The sequence below is a fragment of the Homo sapiens genome, chromosome 4 (genome assembly GCF_000001405.40).
Source record: "Homo sapiens chromosome 4, GRCh38.p14 Primary Assembly".
Taxonomy (NCBI): Eukaryota; Metazoa; Chordata; class Mammalia; order Primates; family Hominidae; genus Homo; species Homo sapiens.
Window position 1 is genome coordinate 25,550,058 of NC_000004.12, and position 19,763 is coordinate 25,569,820.

The 19,763-nt window shown below is 44.4% G+C and overlaps 1 long non-coding RNA gene across 1 annotated transcript in view; it reads right to left on the bottom strand.

Annotated features, from left to right (window-relative positions):
- LOC101929161 (uncharacterized) overlaps nt 1-19,289 on the bottom strand; it is a 38,307-nt gene extending 19,018 nt beyond the window's left edge. The window contains exons 1-2 of the long non-coding RNA NR_134641.1: nt 19,043-19,289; nt 4,815-4,908 (exon numbers count right to left, since the gene is read on the bottom strand). This is a non-coding gene — a long non-coding RNA (uncharacterized LOC101929161). The remainder of the gene's footprint in view (nt 1-4,814; nt 4,909-19,042) is intronic.
- Nucleotides 19,290-19,763: the final 474 nt, after the last annotated feature.

The window sequence follows — 19,763 nt, forward strand, 5'->3', positions numbered from 1 at the left end:
CTCTCTGTTTCTGTTCCTCTCTCCTGCCATCTTGAGATGACCTTGGAGTCAAGTTCATAATTTGCTAGTGCAGGGCTTCCTTTGAGTGGTGTATATGCTGTGTTCCTCTGGTTTCATTTGCTCATACATTCATTCAACAAGTACTGAGTACCAACTCTGTATAGGGCACTGTTCTTAGAGCTGATGGCAAAACAAAAAGACAAAATTCTGCTTCTATCCTGGAGCTAACATTTTTTTGGGGGGCAGAGGGGTGGGTAGAGGATGAGGAGGAGACAGTAAACAAAATAAAAATGTAAATTATACATACACTAGATAGTGATAAGTACTGTGAGAAAAAATAAAGCCAGAAGAGGTTGTAATTATAAGTAGGGTGGCCAGGAAAGAACTCTTTGTGATGGCAATATCTAAGCAAAGATTTGAAGAAATGAGGAAGGTAGTTATGCCAGTATCTGGGGAAGTGCTTTCCAGATAGAGGGAACAGCAAGTGCAAGGGCCCGGAGGCACATCCTTATCTCACCTGAGCATTTCAGAATCTGAGGAACATCTACTCCAAAAATCTCAAAATTTCCTTGCACTGTTACATGATTCTTGCCACAAATATGACTCATGCGATTTTTACAACCAAGGAGAAACCTATAATTTGTGAGCCAGCATGTGCGTGTAGGAATAATCTTGACATAAAGTAATAATAATTAAGTAAATAATAAAGTAATAAAGTAATAAAGTCACATTTGGTTACTTCATTAACTTATATCAGTTCCTTGGGGCTAGCAGGAGTTACCATACGGAGCACAAATGTGAGAATCTGGTTTAAATTGCAGCTTTGCTGCTCTGTGGACTTGAGCAATTTATTTAATCTTTCTGAGTGCAGAAAGATAAAATGATATCCACCTTGAAGCACTGTGATGAGGATTGAGAGAAAATACAAGTTCAAGTCTTTGGTGAACTTCGGTAAGATTTTACAATGTTCTTTGCATACATCTTGCACATTTCTTCAATTATTCCTATCCTTGGTATGCTATTTTTGTTGTTGTTGTTGTTGAAAAAGAAAATTCTGAAAGTGCTCAGAGAGAAAAGGCAAATTTTTTTTTTTTCTTTTTGAGATGGAGTCTCGCTCTGTTGCCCAGGCTGGAGTGCAGTGGTGCAATCTTAGCTCATTGCAACCTCCGTCTCCCAGGTTTAAATGATTCTCCTGCCTCAGCCTCCTGAGTAGCTGGGACTACAGGCTGGTGCCACCACATCCTGCTAATTTTTTGTATTGTTAATAGAGATGGGGTTTCACCATGTTAGCCAGGCTGGTCTCGAACTCCTGACCTCAAGTGATCTCCCCGCCTTGGGCTCCCAAAGTGCTGGGATTACAGGCGTGAGCCACCATGCCCGGCCTCATAGACCTATTTTTAATCCCTCCAGCTCTAGAAAATCATATGGGGAAAAGAATTAATATATACTACACACAGACATTCATTCTTAGTGCTGCACTGCAACATAACCTATGTGTGTTGCGGTCTCTAACATCTCACACTCTATGTTTGTTCATGTCTTTGGTTAATACCTGTATCATTTTAGTCTACTAAGATTCAATTAATATCAATAAAAATAAAATAATAATAGTATAGTAAATTCATAATGTTTTATGCTTATATTACTTGTTTCCTGAGCGATCACAAAACTGTAATAACATTATTTTATGACTCATCTTTGCTAACTTGACTTTTATTCCCTTGAATGGATGTACATATTTACACTAAACTATCATTCCTTGGCTGGGAGCGGTAGCTCACACCTGTACTCCCAGCACTTTGGCAGACTGAGGTGGGTGGATCACTTGAGGTCAGGAATTCAAGACCAGCCTGGCCAACGTGGTAAAACCCTGTCTCTACAAAAAATACAAAAATTAGCCGGGGTTGTTGGAGCATGCCTGTAGTCCCAGGTACTCTGGAGACTGAGGCAGGTGAATTGCTTGAACCCAGGAGGCGGAGGTTGCAGTCAGTGAGCCGAGACTGCACCATTGCACTCCAGCTTGGGTGATAGAGTGAGACTGTCTCAAAATAAAACAAATTAAAAATAAAATAAAATAAAATATCATTTCCTGTGTATGTGAAATTCAAATTTAACTGGGGCCAGGTGTGGTGGCTCATGCTTATAATCCTAGCACTTTGGAAGGCCAAGGCAGAAAAATCACTTGAAGCCAGGAATTAGAGACCAGGTTGGGCAACACAGCAAATCCCTATTCTTAAAAAAAAAATTAAATAATAAAACTAGGCCATGTGTGGTGGCTCACGCCTGTAATCTCAAGCCTTTGGGAGTCAGAAGTAGGCAGGTCACTTGAGCTCAGGAGTTCAAGACCAGCCTGGGCTATATGATGAAACCCCATCTCTATAAAAAATTTTTAAAAATTAGTCAGGCATGGTGGCATCGCCTGTAGTCCCAGCTACTCAGGGGGCTGAGGTGGGAGGATCACTCCTGACCTCAAGGAAAGCATGTGGATGTCTGGGAGGGGGGGACAAACTTGGGTTGGGGGGACAGTAAACCAGAGAGACCAAGAATTCTAGTTTTTGGTAGCAGGAGGTTTGGAGCCCTTTAAAGGAAAGTTACTTCTGTTTTTTTTTTTTTTTTTTTTTTTTTTGGTCAGTGTCTTCCTTGCGAATGAAACTGAATCTGTGAAGGTGATGTCAGATGAGAGATTGAACGATTCCGCGTGGCAGCTACAAGGTAGAGGTGGCATTCTGTGAACACTCAAGCTCTCCCTGACTTCCCCATCAGCCAAATAGAAGTCTGAGCTGACTGAGACATCCACATGTTTTCCTTCCGGGCAAAACAAAAGCTTTCACTATGTCTTTTCTACATCTCCCAGGGCCTCCACAACTCCTGTGATCCAAGACCTTCTCGAAATGCCAAAGTTACCTATTGTTAAATATTTTCAAAGCAGTGTAGGCAGTCCTGCCAACCCCGTCCTGGCTGTCTCCAAGAGCGCTGGCCAACAGTGCCAAGGGTCCTTGCCAGTTTCCTGGAGAAGGGGGGTGTTACAGTTAAGTGGGGAGGGATCTTAAAGGGCCACAGCCAATATTAGGGCTTCAGGCTGCCACATCTTCTGTCATTAGTGGGGACAGTTGGTGTCTCCTCCCTTTGTTCCTCACCCAAGCAGTTATTGTCTCCCTGTCTGATAGATGCAGTCTGGGAGGAGCTTCTGCCAGCTCACCTCTAGATAAGAGTGTGGAAAACACAGCCTTTGCTTCTTCCTGGGGACACTGTCTTGACCCTTGAGCTGGAAAGAAGAGGCTGGTCCCAGGGAGGGAATGGGCCATGTCTCAGTCAACTTTTCTTTCTTTCCCTTTCTTTCTTTCTTTCTTTCTTTCTTTCTTTCTTTCTTTCTTTCTTTCTTTCTTTCTTTCTTTCTTTCTTTCTTTTTCTTTCTTCTTTCTTTCTTTCCTTCCTTCCTCTTTCTTTCTTTCTTTCTTTCTTTCTTTCTTTCTTTCTTTCTTTCTTTCTTTTTCTTTCTTTCTATAATTTCTCTAGAAGAAACTCAGTTGACTTCTTTCTTGCCTGCTGGACCACAGAGAGGTGGACATTTGTAAGGGAGGAGAGGAGGGAAGACAGCCACTAAAAGCAGGCACTGGCTGGGCAGGGTGGCTGCTCACACTTGTAATTCCAGTATTTTGGGAGGCCGAGGTGGGAGGATCACTTGAGCCCAGGAATTGAGGCTGCAGTGAACTATCATTGGCACCACTGCACTCCAGCCTGGGTAACAGAGAGAGACCCTGTCTCTAAAATAAATAAATAAATAAATGATAAATACGTAAATAAAAGCAGGCACTATTTTGGCTGTTCTGGGTCTAGAGCAGTATTTTCCATGTTTGGGCATTTGCATTCCACCTTTGTAATTTTTGCTGAGTCTCTTTATTTTATTTTAATTTTTCTTTTTTGAGACGGCATCTTGCTCTGTCGCCCAGGCTGGAACACAGTTGCACGATCTCGGCTCACTGCAACCTTGGTCTCCCAGGTTCAAGCGATTCTCATGCCTCAGCCTCCCAAGTAGCTGGAATTACAGGTGTGCCCACCACACCTGGCTAATTTTTTGTATTTTTAGCAGAGATGGGGTTTTGCAGCATTGGCCAGGCTGGTCTTGAACTCCTGACCTACCTCAGGTGATCTGCCCACCTCGGCCTCCCAAAATGCTGGGATTATAGGCATGAGCCACCACGCGTGGCCTGCATTTATTTTTGTAAATGCACATCTCTGGACCTAAAAATGCTTATCCATGTGACCTTTGAAACCATCTCAATAATAGCTTAAACTTATTGAGTGTTTTGGGCCCTGAACTATTTCCAAGCCCTTCATGGTATGAATTTATTTATTCCTCACTGAGAGGAGGGGAGGAGGAGGAGAATAATGCTACTGACTTCAACTACTGCTGTGTGAGGATTCTCTGGCTGGTATGTGGAAAGTGCTCAGAACCGTGTCTGATAGGAAGAAGATACATGCAAGCATTTGCTGTTAGTATTATCATTGCCATTTTACAGATGGCAAAATGCAGGCAAGTGTAGGGATACTGGCTTGCTTAAGGGCCCAAGATGGTGGAATCAAATCCAGACACTGAGTCCGGAGCCTAGACACTAATCCTTGGTGCTGTTCACCTTCCACACTATTGGAAACACTTCAACCCACCTAGAAGAAGTGCTGGCTGTTTGTCACCTGGATGCAAAGGGCTGGGGTGTGGTGCCTGCCTCTCTGACCAGTGAAGTTGGTGTGCAGTTTCTGTAGAGGACTGGAGGATGGAGGAGTCCCGTGTCTACTCAGAAATGTCAGGAACTCACCTGCTAAGCTGCCCCATCCAGGGAGGATGCTGAACCTTTATCCATTCTGAACAGAATCTTCAGAGGAAGGAGATGCTGTCTCTCTTCACTGTTCCTGCAATGCAGAACCAAACGTTCCGGCTTTGAACAAAGGCATTGACCATAAGTTACTGGCTTGAGTATTCTACATGCCTAGCCCTGGGGGAGGAGGGGTGGACTTGAATCCAGCCTGTTCTATAAGTGTGCAATGCCTAATGGTCCAAAAGATGTTGCAGATGAAATTTTTGATCTTTCTGAGAGTAATCTGTTTTTCACCACCCCAGTGGCCCTCATTTGCACACCAACATATTGATTTGGTAAATAAAACTGTTCCTTTTCTTCCATACAGCAGATCCCTAAAGGGTCTTAACCTGACCAATGGAGTCCAGTTGAAGTTACGATAGGGACCTGAAAGTGCCTCCTGCCTGCTGCAGAGAGTTGAGATTTAATCTATTAATTTAGACTTCCAAACAACCCCAGACAATGAACAGCTTATGCTGTGTGCATTTTTCAAACATTCAGAAAATGCTTTTGCCGTTAGAAACTTCTATCTTCTCTCCTCTGCCTTTTAAGGAAGTACCAATTCTAAGGCTTTGTTTAGAACATGTTTTTTTGTTTGTTTTTGTTTCTGTTTTTTCCTTAAGCAACGGAATCTCACTCTGTTACCCAGGCTGGAGTGCAGTGGCACAATCACAGCTCACTGAAGCCTTAGACTCCTTGGGTTCAAGCGATCCCAGCCTCCTGAGTAGCTAGAACCATGCCTGGCTAATTTCTTAATTTTTTTAGAGATGGGGTCTCACTATGTTTCCCAGGCTGGTCTCCAACTCCTAGCCTCAAGCAATGCTCCCACCTCCATCTCCCAAAGTTCTGGGATTACGAGTGTGAGCCACTGTACCTGGCGTAGAACAAGTTTCTAATACAGACTCATCTCAACTTGTTGAAAAACAGTTGTTGTTGTTGTTATTGTGTGTGTGTGTGTGTGTGTGTGTGTGTGTGTGTGTGTGTGTTTAAGTCGGGTTTACTGAGATATAACTTGCCACAGTAAAATTTGCATTTCTTAGGTATACACATCTAAAGTTTTAACAAATGTAAGCTGTACCACTATCACCACAATTACGATAGATACTACATAGATAATATTTCATCATTCCCCCTAAAGTTCCCTCATGCCCCTTTGTAGTCAATCTCTTCCCCATCCCAATCCTTGGCAGCCCCTGTCCTGATTTTTGCCTCTGTAGTTGTATCTTTTTTTTTTTTTGGCAGAGTCTCAGTCTGTTGCCCAGGCTGGATGAAGTGGCATGATCTTGGCTCACTGCAGCCTCCACCTCCCGGGTTCAAGCGATTCTCCTGCCTCAGCCTCCTGAGTAGCTGGGATTACAGGCATGTGCCACCATGCCCAGCTAATTTTATATTTGTAGTAGAGACTGGGTTTCGCCATGTTGGCCAGGCTGGTCTTGAACTCCTGACTTCAAGTGATCCCCCCGCCTCAGCCTCCCAAAGTGCTGGGATTACAGGCGTGAGCCACTGTGCCTGTCCTGTAGCTGTGTCTTTTTTATAGCAGGTATTTTTACTTTTAAATGGCAAGGTGGCTATATATTTTTTTAATCACATGTTCCCTGCTAAAAATGTCTGGCAATACCAAATAAAATAAAATAAAACAAAATAGAATAAATAAAATTAAAGTGTCTGGAAAGAAGCTGCTGTTTTTAAATCATTTACACCCCACACTCCTTATTGCAAAAAGGATATAAAGCAGTCCAGGTGCAGTGACTCACACCTGTAATCCCAGCACTTTGGAAGGCCGAGACAAGTGGTTCACTTGAGGTCAGGAGTTCAAGACCAGCCTGGCCAACATGGTGAAACCCCATCTCTAATAAAAAATACAAAAATTAGCCAAGTATGGTGGTGTGTGCCTGTGATCCCAGCTACTCAGGAGGCTGAGGTGGGAGAATCACTAGAACCTGGGAGGCAGAAGTTGTAGTGAGCCAAGATTATGCCATTGCACTCCAGCCTGGGTGACACAGCGAAACTCCATCTCAAAAAGGAAAAAAAATTGGATATAAGGCAGCAATAAAGTCATACAGTGAGAAAAACCACTGCAAGGATGTCTAGACAGAGTGAAGACTGGTTGAAGGATTCTTTCTCCCCAACTTTAAAAGAAAAATGGCATAAGCCTTTGGTCCCAGCTACTCAGGAGGCTGAGGCAGGAGGATGGCTTGAGCCCAGGAGTTTGAGGCTGCAGTGAGTTATGATAGTGCCACTGCACTTCAGCCATAGACAACAGAGAGAGATCCTGTCTCAAAAAATTTAAATGAGAAGTTTACATCTTCAAATAAATTGCAAGAATAGGACAATGAATGCCTCTATATACTCTTCTCCTAAATTTACCAACTGTTAACATTTTTGCCACATTTCTTCTCTCTCTCTTTGTATTTGTATACACTCTTGTTTATTTATGTTTGTTTGATTTTGCTGAATCTTTTGAGAGTTACTTGCAGAAATCATAAGACTATCTCCCTAAACACTTCAGCACACATCTCCTAACAACAGAGGCATTCTCCCTCAGAAACACAATAAAATTATTACTCAGTAAATTTAGTAATCATTAGATGCTATTATTTAACATATAGTGGCACTTTGGGAAGCCAAGGTGGGCGGATCCCTTGAGGCCAGGAGTTCAAGTCAGCCTGGCCAACATGGCGAAATGTCTCTACTAAAAAAACAAAATTTAGCCGGGCATGGTGGCGAGCTCCTGTAATTCCAACTACTTGGGAGGCTGGGGCTTGAGATCACTTAAACCTGGGAGGTGGCGACTGCAGTGAGCTGAGATCATGCCTCTGCACTCCAGCCTGGAGACAGAGCGCAGAGCGAGACTCTGTCTCAATAAATAAATAAATAAATAAATAAAAATAACATATAATCCATAATCACTTTTCTTTTCTTTCTTTCTTTTTTTTTTTTTTGAGACGGAGTCTCACTCTGTCACCCAGGCTGGAGTGCAGTGGTGCGATCTCGGCTCACTGCAAGCTCCGCCTCCCGGGTTCATGCCATTCTCCTGCCTCAGCCTCCCGAGTAATTGGGACTACAGGCGCCCGCCACCACGCTCAGCTAATTTTTTGTATTTTTAGTAGAGACAAGGTTTCACTGTGTTAGCCAGGATGGTCTCGATCTCCTGACCTCGTGATCCACCCGCCTCGGCCTCCCAAAGTGCTGGGATTACAGACGTGAGCCACCGTGTCCGGCCCCATAATCACTTTTCTCCAGTTGTCCCAATGATGTCTTTTATAGCTGTTTAGGTTTTTTAAGAAAAACATTAATTCAGCATATCCAATGAAGGATCAGGCCTTGTATTTTGTTGTTATGTCATTTTAGCTTCCTTTATTCTTGAACAGCTCTCCCAGCCTATCTATCTATCTATCTATCTATCTATCTATCTATCTATCTATCTGTCTGTCTATCTACATCTTTTATGACATTAACATTTTTGAAGAGTTCAGGCCAATTGTTTTTCACAGTGTTCCTCAGTTTGGATTTGCCTGACTGTATGCCCATGGTTTAGACTCAGCCAGGGGAACCACGGGTGAGAGGTTGTGTCCTTTTCAGTGTTTGGCAGAGGGAGGCAGCTGCAAGACACTTCTGAAAAGTTCCTTTTGCAAAAGAAAAGCAAGCCCCAAGTTCTTCCTGCAAGAAGAGCATTTAGCCTTGAATGCCTCCTCAGCTGCTACTGTGTGCAAATCTCTTTAGCAAGGCATTTCCAGGAGGGACTGATTAAGAATGGTGGTTTAGATTTTAGTTAAATGCTGTCACTTAGCTTTAAAACATATGTTCCCATATTCCCTGCATCAATGATGATTTCTATTTTATTACTCTTTGAATCATTTCTCCCTCTTTGGGAATATATATCTTCAGTTATTATGTAACATGGTGGAAAAGTAGGATCAGACTTACAAAACGTGAGTCACACGCCCATTTTTTGTAAGCCTACTTGAGTTCTTTTGCCTGGTGTGCACACGCTAACTCCCTTACAGTCTCCAGATCTAAATATTCCCTCTCCAAGTGGCCAATCCCGACTTCCCTCCTGAAAACATCAACTACCACTCCCTACCTGTATCCTCAATCCCTTTCATCCCCCATATTCTAAAAAATAGAGACAGGTGACCGGGCGTGGTGGCTCACGCCTATAATCCTAGCACTTTGGGAGGCCGAGGTGGGTGGATCACCTGAGGTTAGGAGTTCAAGACCAGCCTGGCCAACATGCTGAAACCCCATCTCTACTAAAAATACAAAAATTAGCTGGGCGCGGTGGTGCACACCTGTAATCCCAGCTACTCAGGAGGCTGAGGCAGGAGAATCACTTGAACCCAGGGGGCGGAGGTTGCAGTGAGCCGAGATCACACCACTTTACAACAGCCTGGGCTATAGAGCAAGACTCTTACTCCAAAAAAAAGAAAAAAAAAATAGAGATGGGATCTTGCTACTTGCCCAGGCTTGTCTTGAACTCCTGGCCTCCAGCAATTCTCCCACCTCAGCCTTTGTAGTAGTAGCTGGGACAACAGGCATGTGCTGCCATGCCTGGCTTCACTCCACCTATTTTCTCTCTCTCTCCTTTTCAATTCTTATCTCTTGTTATCTCCAATATCCAATATAACTTACTTATTTGTGTATTTATTATTGTTGGTCTAGTCCTGACAGCACATGGGCCCTATGGGGCAGGGATTTCTGTCTGTGGTGTCCACTGCTATAGTCCCCGCACTGAGAACTGTGCCTGGCACATCATACGATCTTATGCATATTTACTGAGTGAATGAAGGAACAGATGAATGGCTCTTTGTCCAGTGAGCAAATTGTTTCATGTTTAGAATGAGAGAATTGTGAAAGTTATTGATCTCGTAGTAGTTAAGAGTATACAAGAGCTTGGGTTGGGTTCAAATTGTTGTTTGAACGTGGCTCATCTTTTGCAGGAGACTATTCCAGAATTTCAAGATTAAGTGGCAGTGAAGTGTGGTGCTAAGAGGCCCAAGAACCCGGACCTGGTGTCCTGACTCCATGTGTCATAGTGGTAGAGCCTTGACACTCCAGGCTCTGTCAAACCGGGGTTCTCTCCCCTTGGGGCCACACCCTTTAATTCCTTTCATTTCAAGGAGATGGCCCCAAAGGATAGAGAAAGGGTTTCCCGCCAGGCGTGGTGGCTCACCCCTGTAATCCCAACACTTTGGGAGGCTGAGGCGGGCGGATCGCTTGAGGTCAGGAGTTCAACACCAGCCTGGCCAACATGGTGAAACGTTGTCTCTACTAAAAATACAAAAATTAGCCAGGAGTGGTGGCTGAGCCTGTAATCCAAGCTACTCCAGAGGTGGAGCCAGGAGAATCGCTTGAACCCAGGAGGTGGAGGCTGCAGTAAGCCAAGATCACGCCACTGCACTCCAGCCTAGGCGGCAGAGCAAGATGCTGTCTCAAAAAACAAAAAAAAGGGGTTTCCCTTATTTTTTATTCGTTCTCGTACCCAAGTAGCAGTTCTGCTGCTTTCATCCTTCCTATTGAGGCACCTTCCACCTCCATTACTCTCAATGTCTGGGATGAGGACACAGTGGGACCCGGCCCTCCTGCCAAGACCCAATGGGTTACTGCTCTGACAGGGCAGAGGTCCCAACTCCTTTTATTATGATCATGGGGCAGAAATTGTGATGCCGTGGGGCCATGCAGTCACAACTCTTATGCCATTCAGACATCAAGGACAAGGGTTTTCCAGTTCTTTAATAGAAACAAACAAATCAAAGCAGAGTGATTTCTAAACAGAGAAAGAACCCTGATACGGAGTGCAAATCAAGGAGAGTGATTTCTAAACAAAGAGAGAGTCTTAACGTAGCGTGTGTGCGGGCAAGAAAAGACCATGGACGTCACGGGTTGTTACATATGCTCACTGGAGAAGGCAAAGTCACGGTGGGTGTGGTCATGGGAACCTAGGACTGTTGAAAGATTTTCCTGAGAGCTGTCCCTTCCCCTTGGGCAAGTTCCTCAACCTTTCCAGCTGAGGGATTTTTTTCCATCTGTATTTGAGGATAATAATATTTACCTTCTATGGTTCTTGGTAATGAATAGAGGTAATACGTGCAAAATGTTGGACAGAGAGTAGGTATTTAATATTAATAATAGTGATAATAATGTAGTAGCTACCATTTATTGAGCAGCTATTCTGTGCATGCTCAAGCAACCTTATAACCTCATTCCATAGGCACTTTTTTTTTTTTTTAAGACAGAGTCTGGCTCTGTCACCCAGGCTGGAGTACAGTGGCATGATTTCAGCTCACTGCAGCCTCCACCTCCCATATTCAAGTGATTATTCTGCCTCAGCCTCCTGAGTAGCTGAGATTACAGGTGCCTGCCACCACACCCGGCTAATTTTTGTATTTTTAGTAGAGACAGGGTTTTGCCATGTTGGCCAGGCTGGTCTCCAACTGTTGACCTCAAGTGATCCTCCCGCCTCAGCCTCCCAAAGTGCTAGGATTACAGGCATGAGCCACCGCACCCGACCAGCACTCTTGTTAGTTCTATTTTACAAACTCAAAAATGGAGTGTTAAAGAAATATGTTTCTGCAAAGAATAGGTGGCAGGTAAAAAAAAAAGATAAAATAAAAATAAAGGAATATGTTTCTACCCAAGCCATACAGAGAGAGAGTAGAAAGGATTCAGGCCAAAGGTTGGATGCCTGACTCAAGAACCCAGTTGTTAAATTCTTTTATTTTTTAATTTTATTTTTAAATTTATTTTATTTTTAAATTTTATTTTATTTATTTATTTATTTATTTATTTACTTACTTACTGAGACGGAGTCTCGCTCTGTCACCCCGGCTGGAGTGCAGTGGCGCGATCTCAGCTCACTGCAAGCTCCACCTCCTGGGTTCACTCACTCCATTCTCCTCCCTCAGCCTCCCGAGTAGCCGGGACTACAGGCACCTGCCACCATGCCCGGCTAAATTTTTTTTGTATTTTTAGTAGAGACGGGGTTTCACAGCGTTAGCCAGGATGGTCTTGATCTCCTGACCTCGTGATCCACCCGCCTTGGCCTCCCAAAGTGCTGGGATTACAGGTGTGAGCCATTGTGCCCAGCCTAAATTCTTTTCTTTTTTTAATTTGTTTTTTGAGACTGAGTCTCGCTCTGTCGCCCAGGCTGGAGTGCAGTGGCATGATCGTGGCTCACTGCAACCTCCACCTTCTGGGTTCAAGCAATTCTCCTGCCTCAGCCTCCCAAGTAGCTGAGACTACATGTGTGCACCACCATGCCAGGCTAATTTTTGTATTTTTAGTAGTAACAGGATTTCACTATGTTGGCTAGGCTGGTCTTGAACTTCTGACCTCAGGTGATCCACCTGCCTCGGCCTCCCAAGTGCTGGGATTACAGGCATGAGCCACCACACCTGGCCTTAAGTTCTTAATTGCTTCATTTGATGTCTTTTCAAGTAAGTGAAATAGACACATATTTTTCAAATAAAAGTATATATAAAATATATATGTTTTAAGTTAAGTGAAAAAATACATATATTACAATTTTCCAAGTAAGTGAAATATATACAGTCATGTGCTACATAACAACATCTCAGTCAACAATGGACTGCATATATGATTGTGGTGCCATAAGATTATAATACTGTATTTTCATGGTACCTTTTCTATGTTTAGATACACAAATACTTCCCATTGTGTTACAATTTCCTATGTTTAGATTCATAAATACTTCTTATTGTGTTACAGTTGCCTACAGTATTCAGTACAGTCACATGCTGTACAGGTTTGTAGCTGTACCATATATCCTAGGTGTGTAGCAGGCTACGCCATCTAGGTTTGTGAAAGTACACTCTAGGATGATCACACAATGATGAAATTGCCTAATGATGTGTTTCTCTCTCTCTCTTTTTTTTTTTTTTTGAGATGGAGTCTCACTCTGTCACCTGGGCTGGAGTGCAGTGGTGCAGTGGCGCGATCTCGGCTCACTGCATCCTCCACCTCCTGGGTTCAAGTGATTCTCCTGCCTCAGTCTCCTGAATAGCTGGGATTACAGGCATGCACCATCACACCCAGCTAATTTTTGTATTTTTAGTAGAGAGGGGTTTCACCATGTTGGCCAGGCTGGTCTCAAACTTCTGATCTCGTGATTTGCCTGCCTTGGCCTCCCAGAGTGCTGGGATTACAAGCATGAGCCACTGTTCCTGGCCTCAAGCGATTGTCTTGCCTCAGCCTCTTTAGTAGCTGGAACAACAGGCACGTGCCAGCATGATTTCGCCATGTTGCCCAGGCTGGTCTCGTGACCTCAAGTGATCTCTCTGCCTTGAGCTCCCAAAGTGCTAGGATTACAGGCATAATCCACAGCACCTGGCCTGAGTACTCTATTTAAAATGCACTCCTCTCCTGTTACTCTTGCTATGGTTTTGTTTACCTTCATAGCAATTAGCCTCACCCGAAGTATCATATTCTACTCATGACTCCTCTGATGTAAGCTCCATGAGGCAGGGGCTGTATTTGGGCCTTTGCTTGTTCCCAGTGCCTGGCATGGAGTTATCTCTAAGTAAATATTTGTTGAATGTCTGGACGTGGTGGTGCATGCCTGTAATTCCAGCACTTTGGGAGGCTGAGGTGGGAGGATCACTTGAGCCCAGTAGGTTGAGGCTGCGGTGAGCCGTGACGACGCCACTAAACTCCAGCCTGAACAACAGAGCAAGACCTCATCTCAAAAAAATTTTTTTATTGTTGTTGAATGAATGCTTGGAGAGCCAAAGGAGCTGATTTAACCCTTCAAAGGCATTAGATCAAACAGGCAGGGCCAGTTTTTCAGATCTGAAAGGGTGTCCAGGAGCTCTTCCCTCTTTCCAGCCCCTCAGTTCAGTTTTCTGGAACAAGAAGGCAACACTACATTTGGATAATCACAGCTTTTTCTCAAAGGCTTTTGACCCTGCAGTTGGTTTTTTGTTTGTTTGTTTGTTTGTTCTGAAACGGCATTTGGCTCTTATCACCAGGCTGGAGTACAAGGGCGTGATGTCGGCTCACTGCAACCTTGGCCTTCCAGGTTCAAGCAATTCTCTTGCCTCAGCCTCCCCAGTAGCTGGGATTACAGGTGTGTGCCACCACGCCCGGTTAATTTTTATATTTTTAGTAGGACAGGGTTTCACTATGTTGGCCAGGCTGGTCTTGAACTCCTGACCTCAGGTGATCTGCCTGCCTCGGCCTCCCAAAGTGCTGGGATTACAGGTGTGAGCTACCATGCCCGGCCAAACATCTTTGATCTCTGACAATCCACCAGACCATTCTGACTACCTGCCCACCTAGTAATTTGTTATTTCCTCCCTTCCTTGATTGTCTCCCCCCCGTTACCAATTAATACCATATTTATTAATTTCCTGCTATGAATATGACACTATCTGCCGATGCTTTATTAAAATGTAAAATGACTCTTCCTCCTCAAGTAGGGTAGAGGCAGTATAGTTTAGTGGTTAAGGCGGATAAGGATACTGATTGACTGAAAGTCTGGGTTCAAACCCTCTTTTTGTTTTGTTTTGTTTGAGACAGGCTCTTGCCCTGTCACCCAGCCTGGAGTGCAGTGGCACTAACACAGCCTGGGTTCAAGCAGTCTCCCCCCTTGGCCTCCCAAAGTGTTGCGATTACTGGTGTGAGCCATTGCACCTGGCTCAAACCCTCTTTTTACTACTTACTAGCCATGTGACTTGTACAAGTCACCTAAACTCCCTAAGCCTCAGGTTTTTTTGTTGTTGTTGTTTTTGTTTTTTTAGATGGAATCTCGCTCTGTCACCCAGGCTGGAGTGCGGTGGCAAGATCTCGGCTCACAGCAACCTCCGCCTCCCAGGTTCAAGCAATTCTCCTGTCTCAGCCTCCCAAGCAGCTGGGATTACAGGCACATGCTGGCACGCCTGGCAAATTTTTCGTATTTTAGTAGAGATGGGGTTTCACCGTGTTGCCCAGGCTGGTCTCAAACTCCTGAGCTCAGTCAATCCACCTGCCTTGGTCTCCCAAAGTGCTAGGATTACAGGCGTGAGCCACCGCGCCTGGCCCAGCCTGTTTTTAATCTCAGAAATGGAGATGACAACAGTACCTACTGCTGGGGAACCACGAGTTTGTTACAGTAAGCTACCAGGGCCGTGCTCGGCACAATGCTACCACTAGATGACCTTTCATGGCTAACATAGAATCGTATCGTGTGCCCGGCTCAGTGGCTCATGCCTGTAATCCCACCACTTTGGGAGACTGAGACGGGTGGATCACATGAGGTCAGCAGTTTCAGACCAGCCTGATCAACAAGGTGAAACCCCGCCTCTACTAAAAACACAAAAATGAACTGGGCATGGTGGCGCATGCCTGTAATCCCAGCTACTCGGGAGGCTGAGGCAGGAGAATCAATCGAACCTGAGAAGAGGAGGTTGCAGTGAGCTGAGATTACACCATTGCACTCCAGCCTGGGCAACAGGGGCGAAATTCTGTCTCAAAAAATAAAAAATAAAAAAGAATCATATTGTGAAGAGTGTCGATGCATCGATAAAAACTGAAATAACAATACGTGGATTGGGTGACTCAGTGCAGTATTTATACACACATGTGGACACAGGGGACATCCTGGTATAATGGAAAGAGCATGTGTTCTGGAACCATGCTGACCTGTGCAGGAGTGCCCACTCTAGCTTTTGCTAGCTGTGAGATCTTGAGACCTCCCTCACCCACAGTTTCCTTGTTTGCATAACATGGACCTGAATTTTTGCTTATCAGAGTATTTGTGAAGATTTAACAAGATGCTCATTTCCTTCCCTATGAATGTCTATTGCTGTTTAGAAATCCTGATGAAAAGGCAAAGACCGTTCTGATTGACTTGGGAAGTGGGTATGAAGTCAATACCTCACTTGGCTAATCAGAAAGATTCCTTTCAGTGAACGGGATTAGAGTTTTGATTGAAAAAAAAGCTACCGGGTGCAGTGGCTCATGCCTGTAATCCCAACACTCTGGGAGGCCAAGGCAGGCAGATCACCTGAGGTCAGGAGTTCGAGACCAGCCTGGCCAATTGGTGAAACCCCATCTCTACAAAATATTCAAAAATTAGCTGGGCATGGTGGCATGTGCCTGCAGTTTAGCTACTTGGGGGGCTGAGGCATGAGAATTGCTTGAACCTGGGAGGCAGAGGTTGCAGTGAACCAAGATTGTGCCACTGCACTCCAGCCTGGACAACAGAGCAAGACCCTGTCTCAAAAAAAAAAAAAGAAGGAAGGAAGGAAAGAAAGAAGCTAAAGAAAAATTGTTCTATCAAAACAGAATAAAAGAGGATAATGATTTAGTCAAGGAATCTGTTGATGTCTGTATTATATAGATTCTTATCTTGCAATCCGTGTTAAAGAATCCTAAAAACTCAACCTCCGAGGGGGACCAAGGAGCTCTGTAGCTTATTGTAGAAGCCCCTCTATAGACACCATCTCCCAAAAAGGGGTCATCTGACCTCTATTGGAATACTTCTAGGATGGCCAATTCACTGTTGCATGAGGCTGGCGATTTTGCTTTTGATAACTTGAGCTCTTCCTAAGGTTTGCCCCCAAATTCTTCCTGCAGCCGACTTCCGCCAGCCTCTGACAAAGCACATTTTCCCATCTCTTCTCTCTGTGACTTGGCAGGGATTGGATTTTAATGGTTATCTACTGAACAGAGTACTTTACAGTTCTTGATAATAGCCCCTTATTCGGGAAAATCAATACCAGAAATAGTTGAAGCTTTAAAAAAATTCAACAGACATCTATCTGAGGTGGTTTAATAGCATGGCATTTGTAATTCCCACCACAGTCTGCAATGCAGTGGTGAACACTGGCACTGAGAACAGTGATGATATATTCCATAGCTAAAATATATTTCCTAGTATCACATCTCAAGTCCAGTTCATTTTATCAACATTATTGAGCATCTTACTAGGCTGTGGAAGGCACTAAATCCAACATAAGCCTCAAGCTGGTTTTCTTTTTTTTTCTTTTGAGACGGAGTCTCGCTGCCGCCCAGGTTGAAGTGCAGTGGCACGATCTCGGCTCACTGCAGGCTCCGCCCCCTGGGGTTCACGCCATTCCCCTGCCTCAGCCTCCCGAGTAGCTGGGACTACAGGCGCCTGCCACCTTGCTCGGCTAATGTTCTGTATTTTTACTAGAGACGGGGTTTCACCGTGTTAGCCAGGATGGTCTCGATTTCCTGACCTCGTGATCCGCCTGCCTCGGCCTCCCAAAGTGCTGGGATTACAGGCGTGAGCCACCGTGCCCGGCCTCAAGCTGGTTTTCTCTTTCAACTCCTATTATCATTGTTTAGAACCACATTCATGAGATGTGATGTAAAATAACATGATTGATGCTCTTAACAAAGCCATGAATGGGATGGGGTGGAGGGAGGCAGCTTAAATGTGTGCTAGAAAATGTTGATGTAAGACTGGGATGAGGATGAGGAGAGTGAGGGACCTGGGACACAAAGTCTAAGGATCCTGTCCCCCTTGTCCCTGCTCCTGTCTTCAAGGCCTCTTCTAGGTCTGGTATGTTGTGACCCAGTGCATACAAATGAGGTATGCAGTCTTCAAAGTCACCACCTGGGAAAGCTTGACTTTCAAACAATGCTTCTATTATTCACACTTTAGCAACGGTGCTTGAGAATTACCTTCAGAGCCTGCATTGCATTTTTAAATTTCCGTATGTCTTTGGGGGAATGATAAATCTTCATCCTTTGGAGGTAGATTTGATTTTTAGAAATAGACACAAACCATCTGTGGCCAAATCTGGGGATTAATATAGAGTAGACAAGCCACATAACTGTATGTGGACTCAAAAGTAGATTTTCACTTGTGTGTTGTAAATTAGCCTTGAAGGCAATCTTGATGGAGGGGGCTGCAGAATGTGTTTTGAGCTATAACAACTTTCCAGATTGGTACATATGCTCTGAAGGTATCTACTCCAAAGCCATTACTTGCTCTATTATGAGAGTTTTGAAGTGTTTATTCTTTTTTTTTTTTTTTTTTTTGGAGATGCAGTCTTGCTCTGTCACCCAGGTTGGAGTGTGGCACCATCTTGGCTCACTGCAACCTCCGCCTCCTGGGTTCAAGCGATTCCCCTGCCTCAGCCTCCTGAGTAGCTGGGATTACAGGCAAGTGCCACCACACCTGGCTAATTTTTGTATTTTTAGTAGAGACTAGGTCTCACCATTTTGGCCAGGCTGGTCTCAAACTCCTGACCTCAGGTGATCTGCCTGCCTCAGCCTCCCAAAGTGCTGGGATTACAGGTGTGAGCCACCGCGCCCAGCCTGGAGTGTTTATTCTAAAAGTCACTTTGATTACTTTCTAGTCAAACTCTGTATTATTGAGTTAGAGTAAATAGAAACCATTTAATTTATATTCAATCCGCCTTCTTAAAGGTTGGAAGTCTGGAGAAATTACGTAAGACTAATATATTACAAAATACCAACATATTTGCTTTATGATTAAGAGTTGACCCTTAAGAGAAATTGAACGGAACCAAGACATCTTAAGTCCTCTTTTAATCTCTCAAACATCTCAATTTCTCTTCAGGTTTGATTAAAATGTTTCATGTTGGGGAAATCCAAAGATTCCTTGGTGACTTATCTCAGTCAAAGCAGGAAAGAGGGTGCTTCCAGTATTACTACTGCTGATCTGGAAAATCTTAGTTGGCAGAGAAATGAAGAACCAAAGGCCCTGCAATCCAACCAGTCAGCATCTTAAGACAGTTCCAAGAACTCAGACTTGTTGACTTCTACCGTGGTCATGTGTTGGGCCACAGTTTGAAAAACAGAACATCTGAGCTCCATGCCTGAAGACCATCCCAATCAATATTGTACTCACTTTTTTTTTTTTTTTTTTTTTTTTTGAGACAGAGTATCACTCTGTCGCCCAGGCTGGAGTGCGGTGACACAATCTTGGCTCATTGCATCCCCCTCCTGGGTTCAAGCAATTCTCCTGCCTGAGCCTCTCAAAAAGCTGGGACTATAGTCACGTGCCACCAACCACACCCAGCTAATCTTTTTATGTTTTTAGTAGAGACAGGGTTTCACCAGGTTGGCCAGGCTAGTCTTGAATTCCTGACCTCAAGTGATCTGCCTACCTTGGCCTCCAAAGTGCTGGGATTACAGGAGTGACCCACCACACCCGGCTGACACTGGGCTCTTAATCTCCTCAGATATCTACTTACCCATTTGCAAGTCCCTGCTCCAGACAGCACACTGCCTCTCCAGCTTCCCAGACAGCTTTTATTCCTTGTGAGAAACCAGCAGTTTCAGATGTCACTCCTAAAATTCAGTCTGAGCTTTTTCAGGCCCAAGTCCTGTTGGCCACTTTCTGCTGACATGGCCTTGGGGTAGAAGTAACCTTCAGCTGGGCTTCCCAGCCACTTGAGTTTGCAGGAAACTATTTTGTATAAGCCTTCAAAAAACGGCAAGCTTCAAAACTCCTATTAGTCTGTAAGTTGGAGCCTTGAGCACATATTTACACTCCCTGGTAATTAACTGTTTGATGGCAGAGTTATTGCTAATTGTTTTATGGTTTTGCAACTCTGTGTGGTGGCTTAGAATTGCTTCTCAGCCAGGCTGGGAGCAGTGGCTCATGCCTGTAATCCCAGCACTTTGGGAAGCTGAGGTGGGTGGATCATGAGGTAGGAGTTCAAGACCAGCCTAGCCAACATAGTGAAACCCCATCTCTACTAAAAATACAAAAATTAGCTGGGTGTGGTGGCACTCGCCTGTAATCCCAGCTACTCAGGAGGCTGAGGCAGGAGAATTGCTTGAACCCGGGAGGCAGAGGTTGCAGTGAGTCAAGATCGCACCACTAAACTCCAGCCTGGGCGACAGAGCGAGACCCTGTCTCAAAAAAACAAAAAAAAATTGGTTCTCAGCCGAGACCAAAGAAACATATGC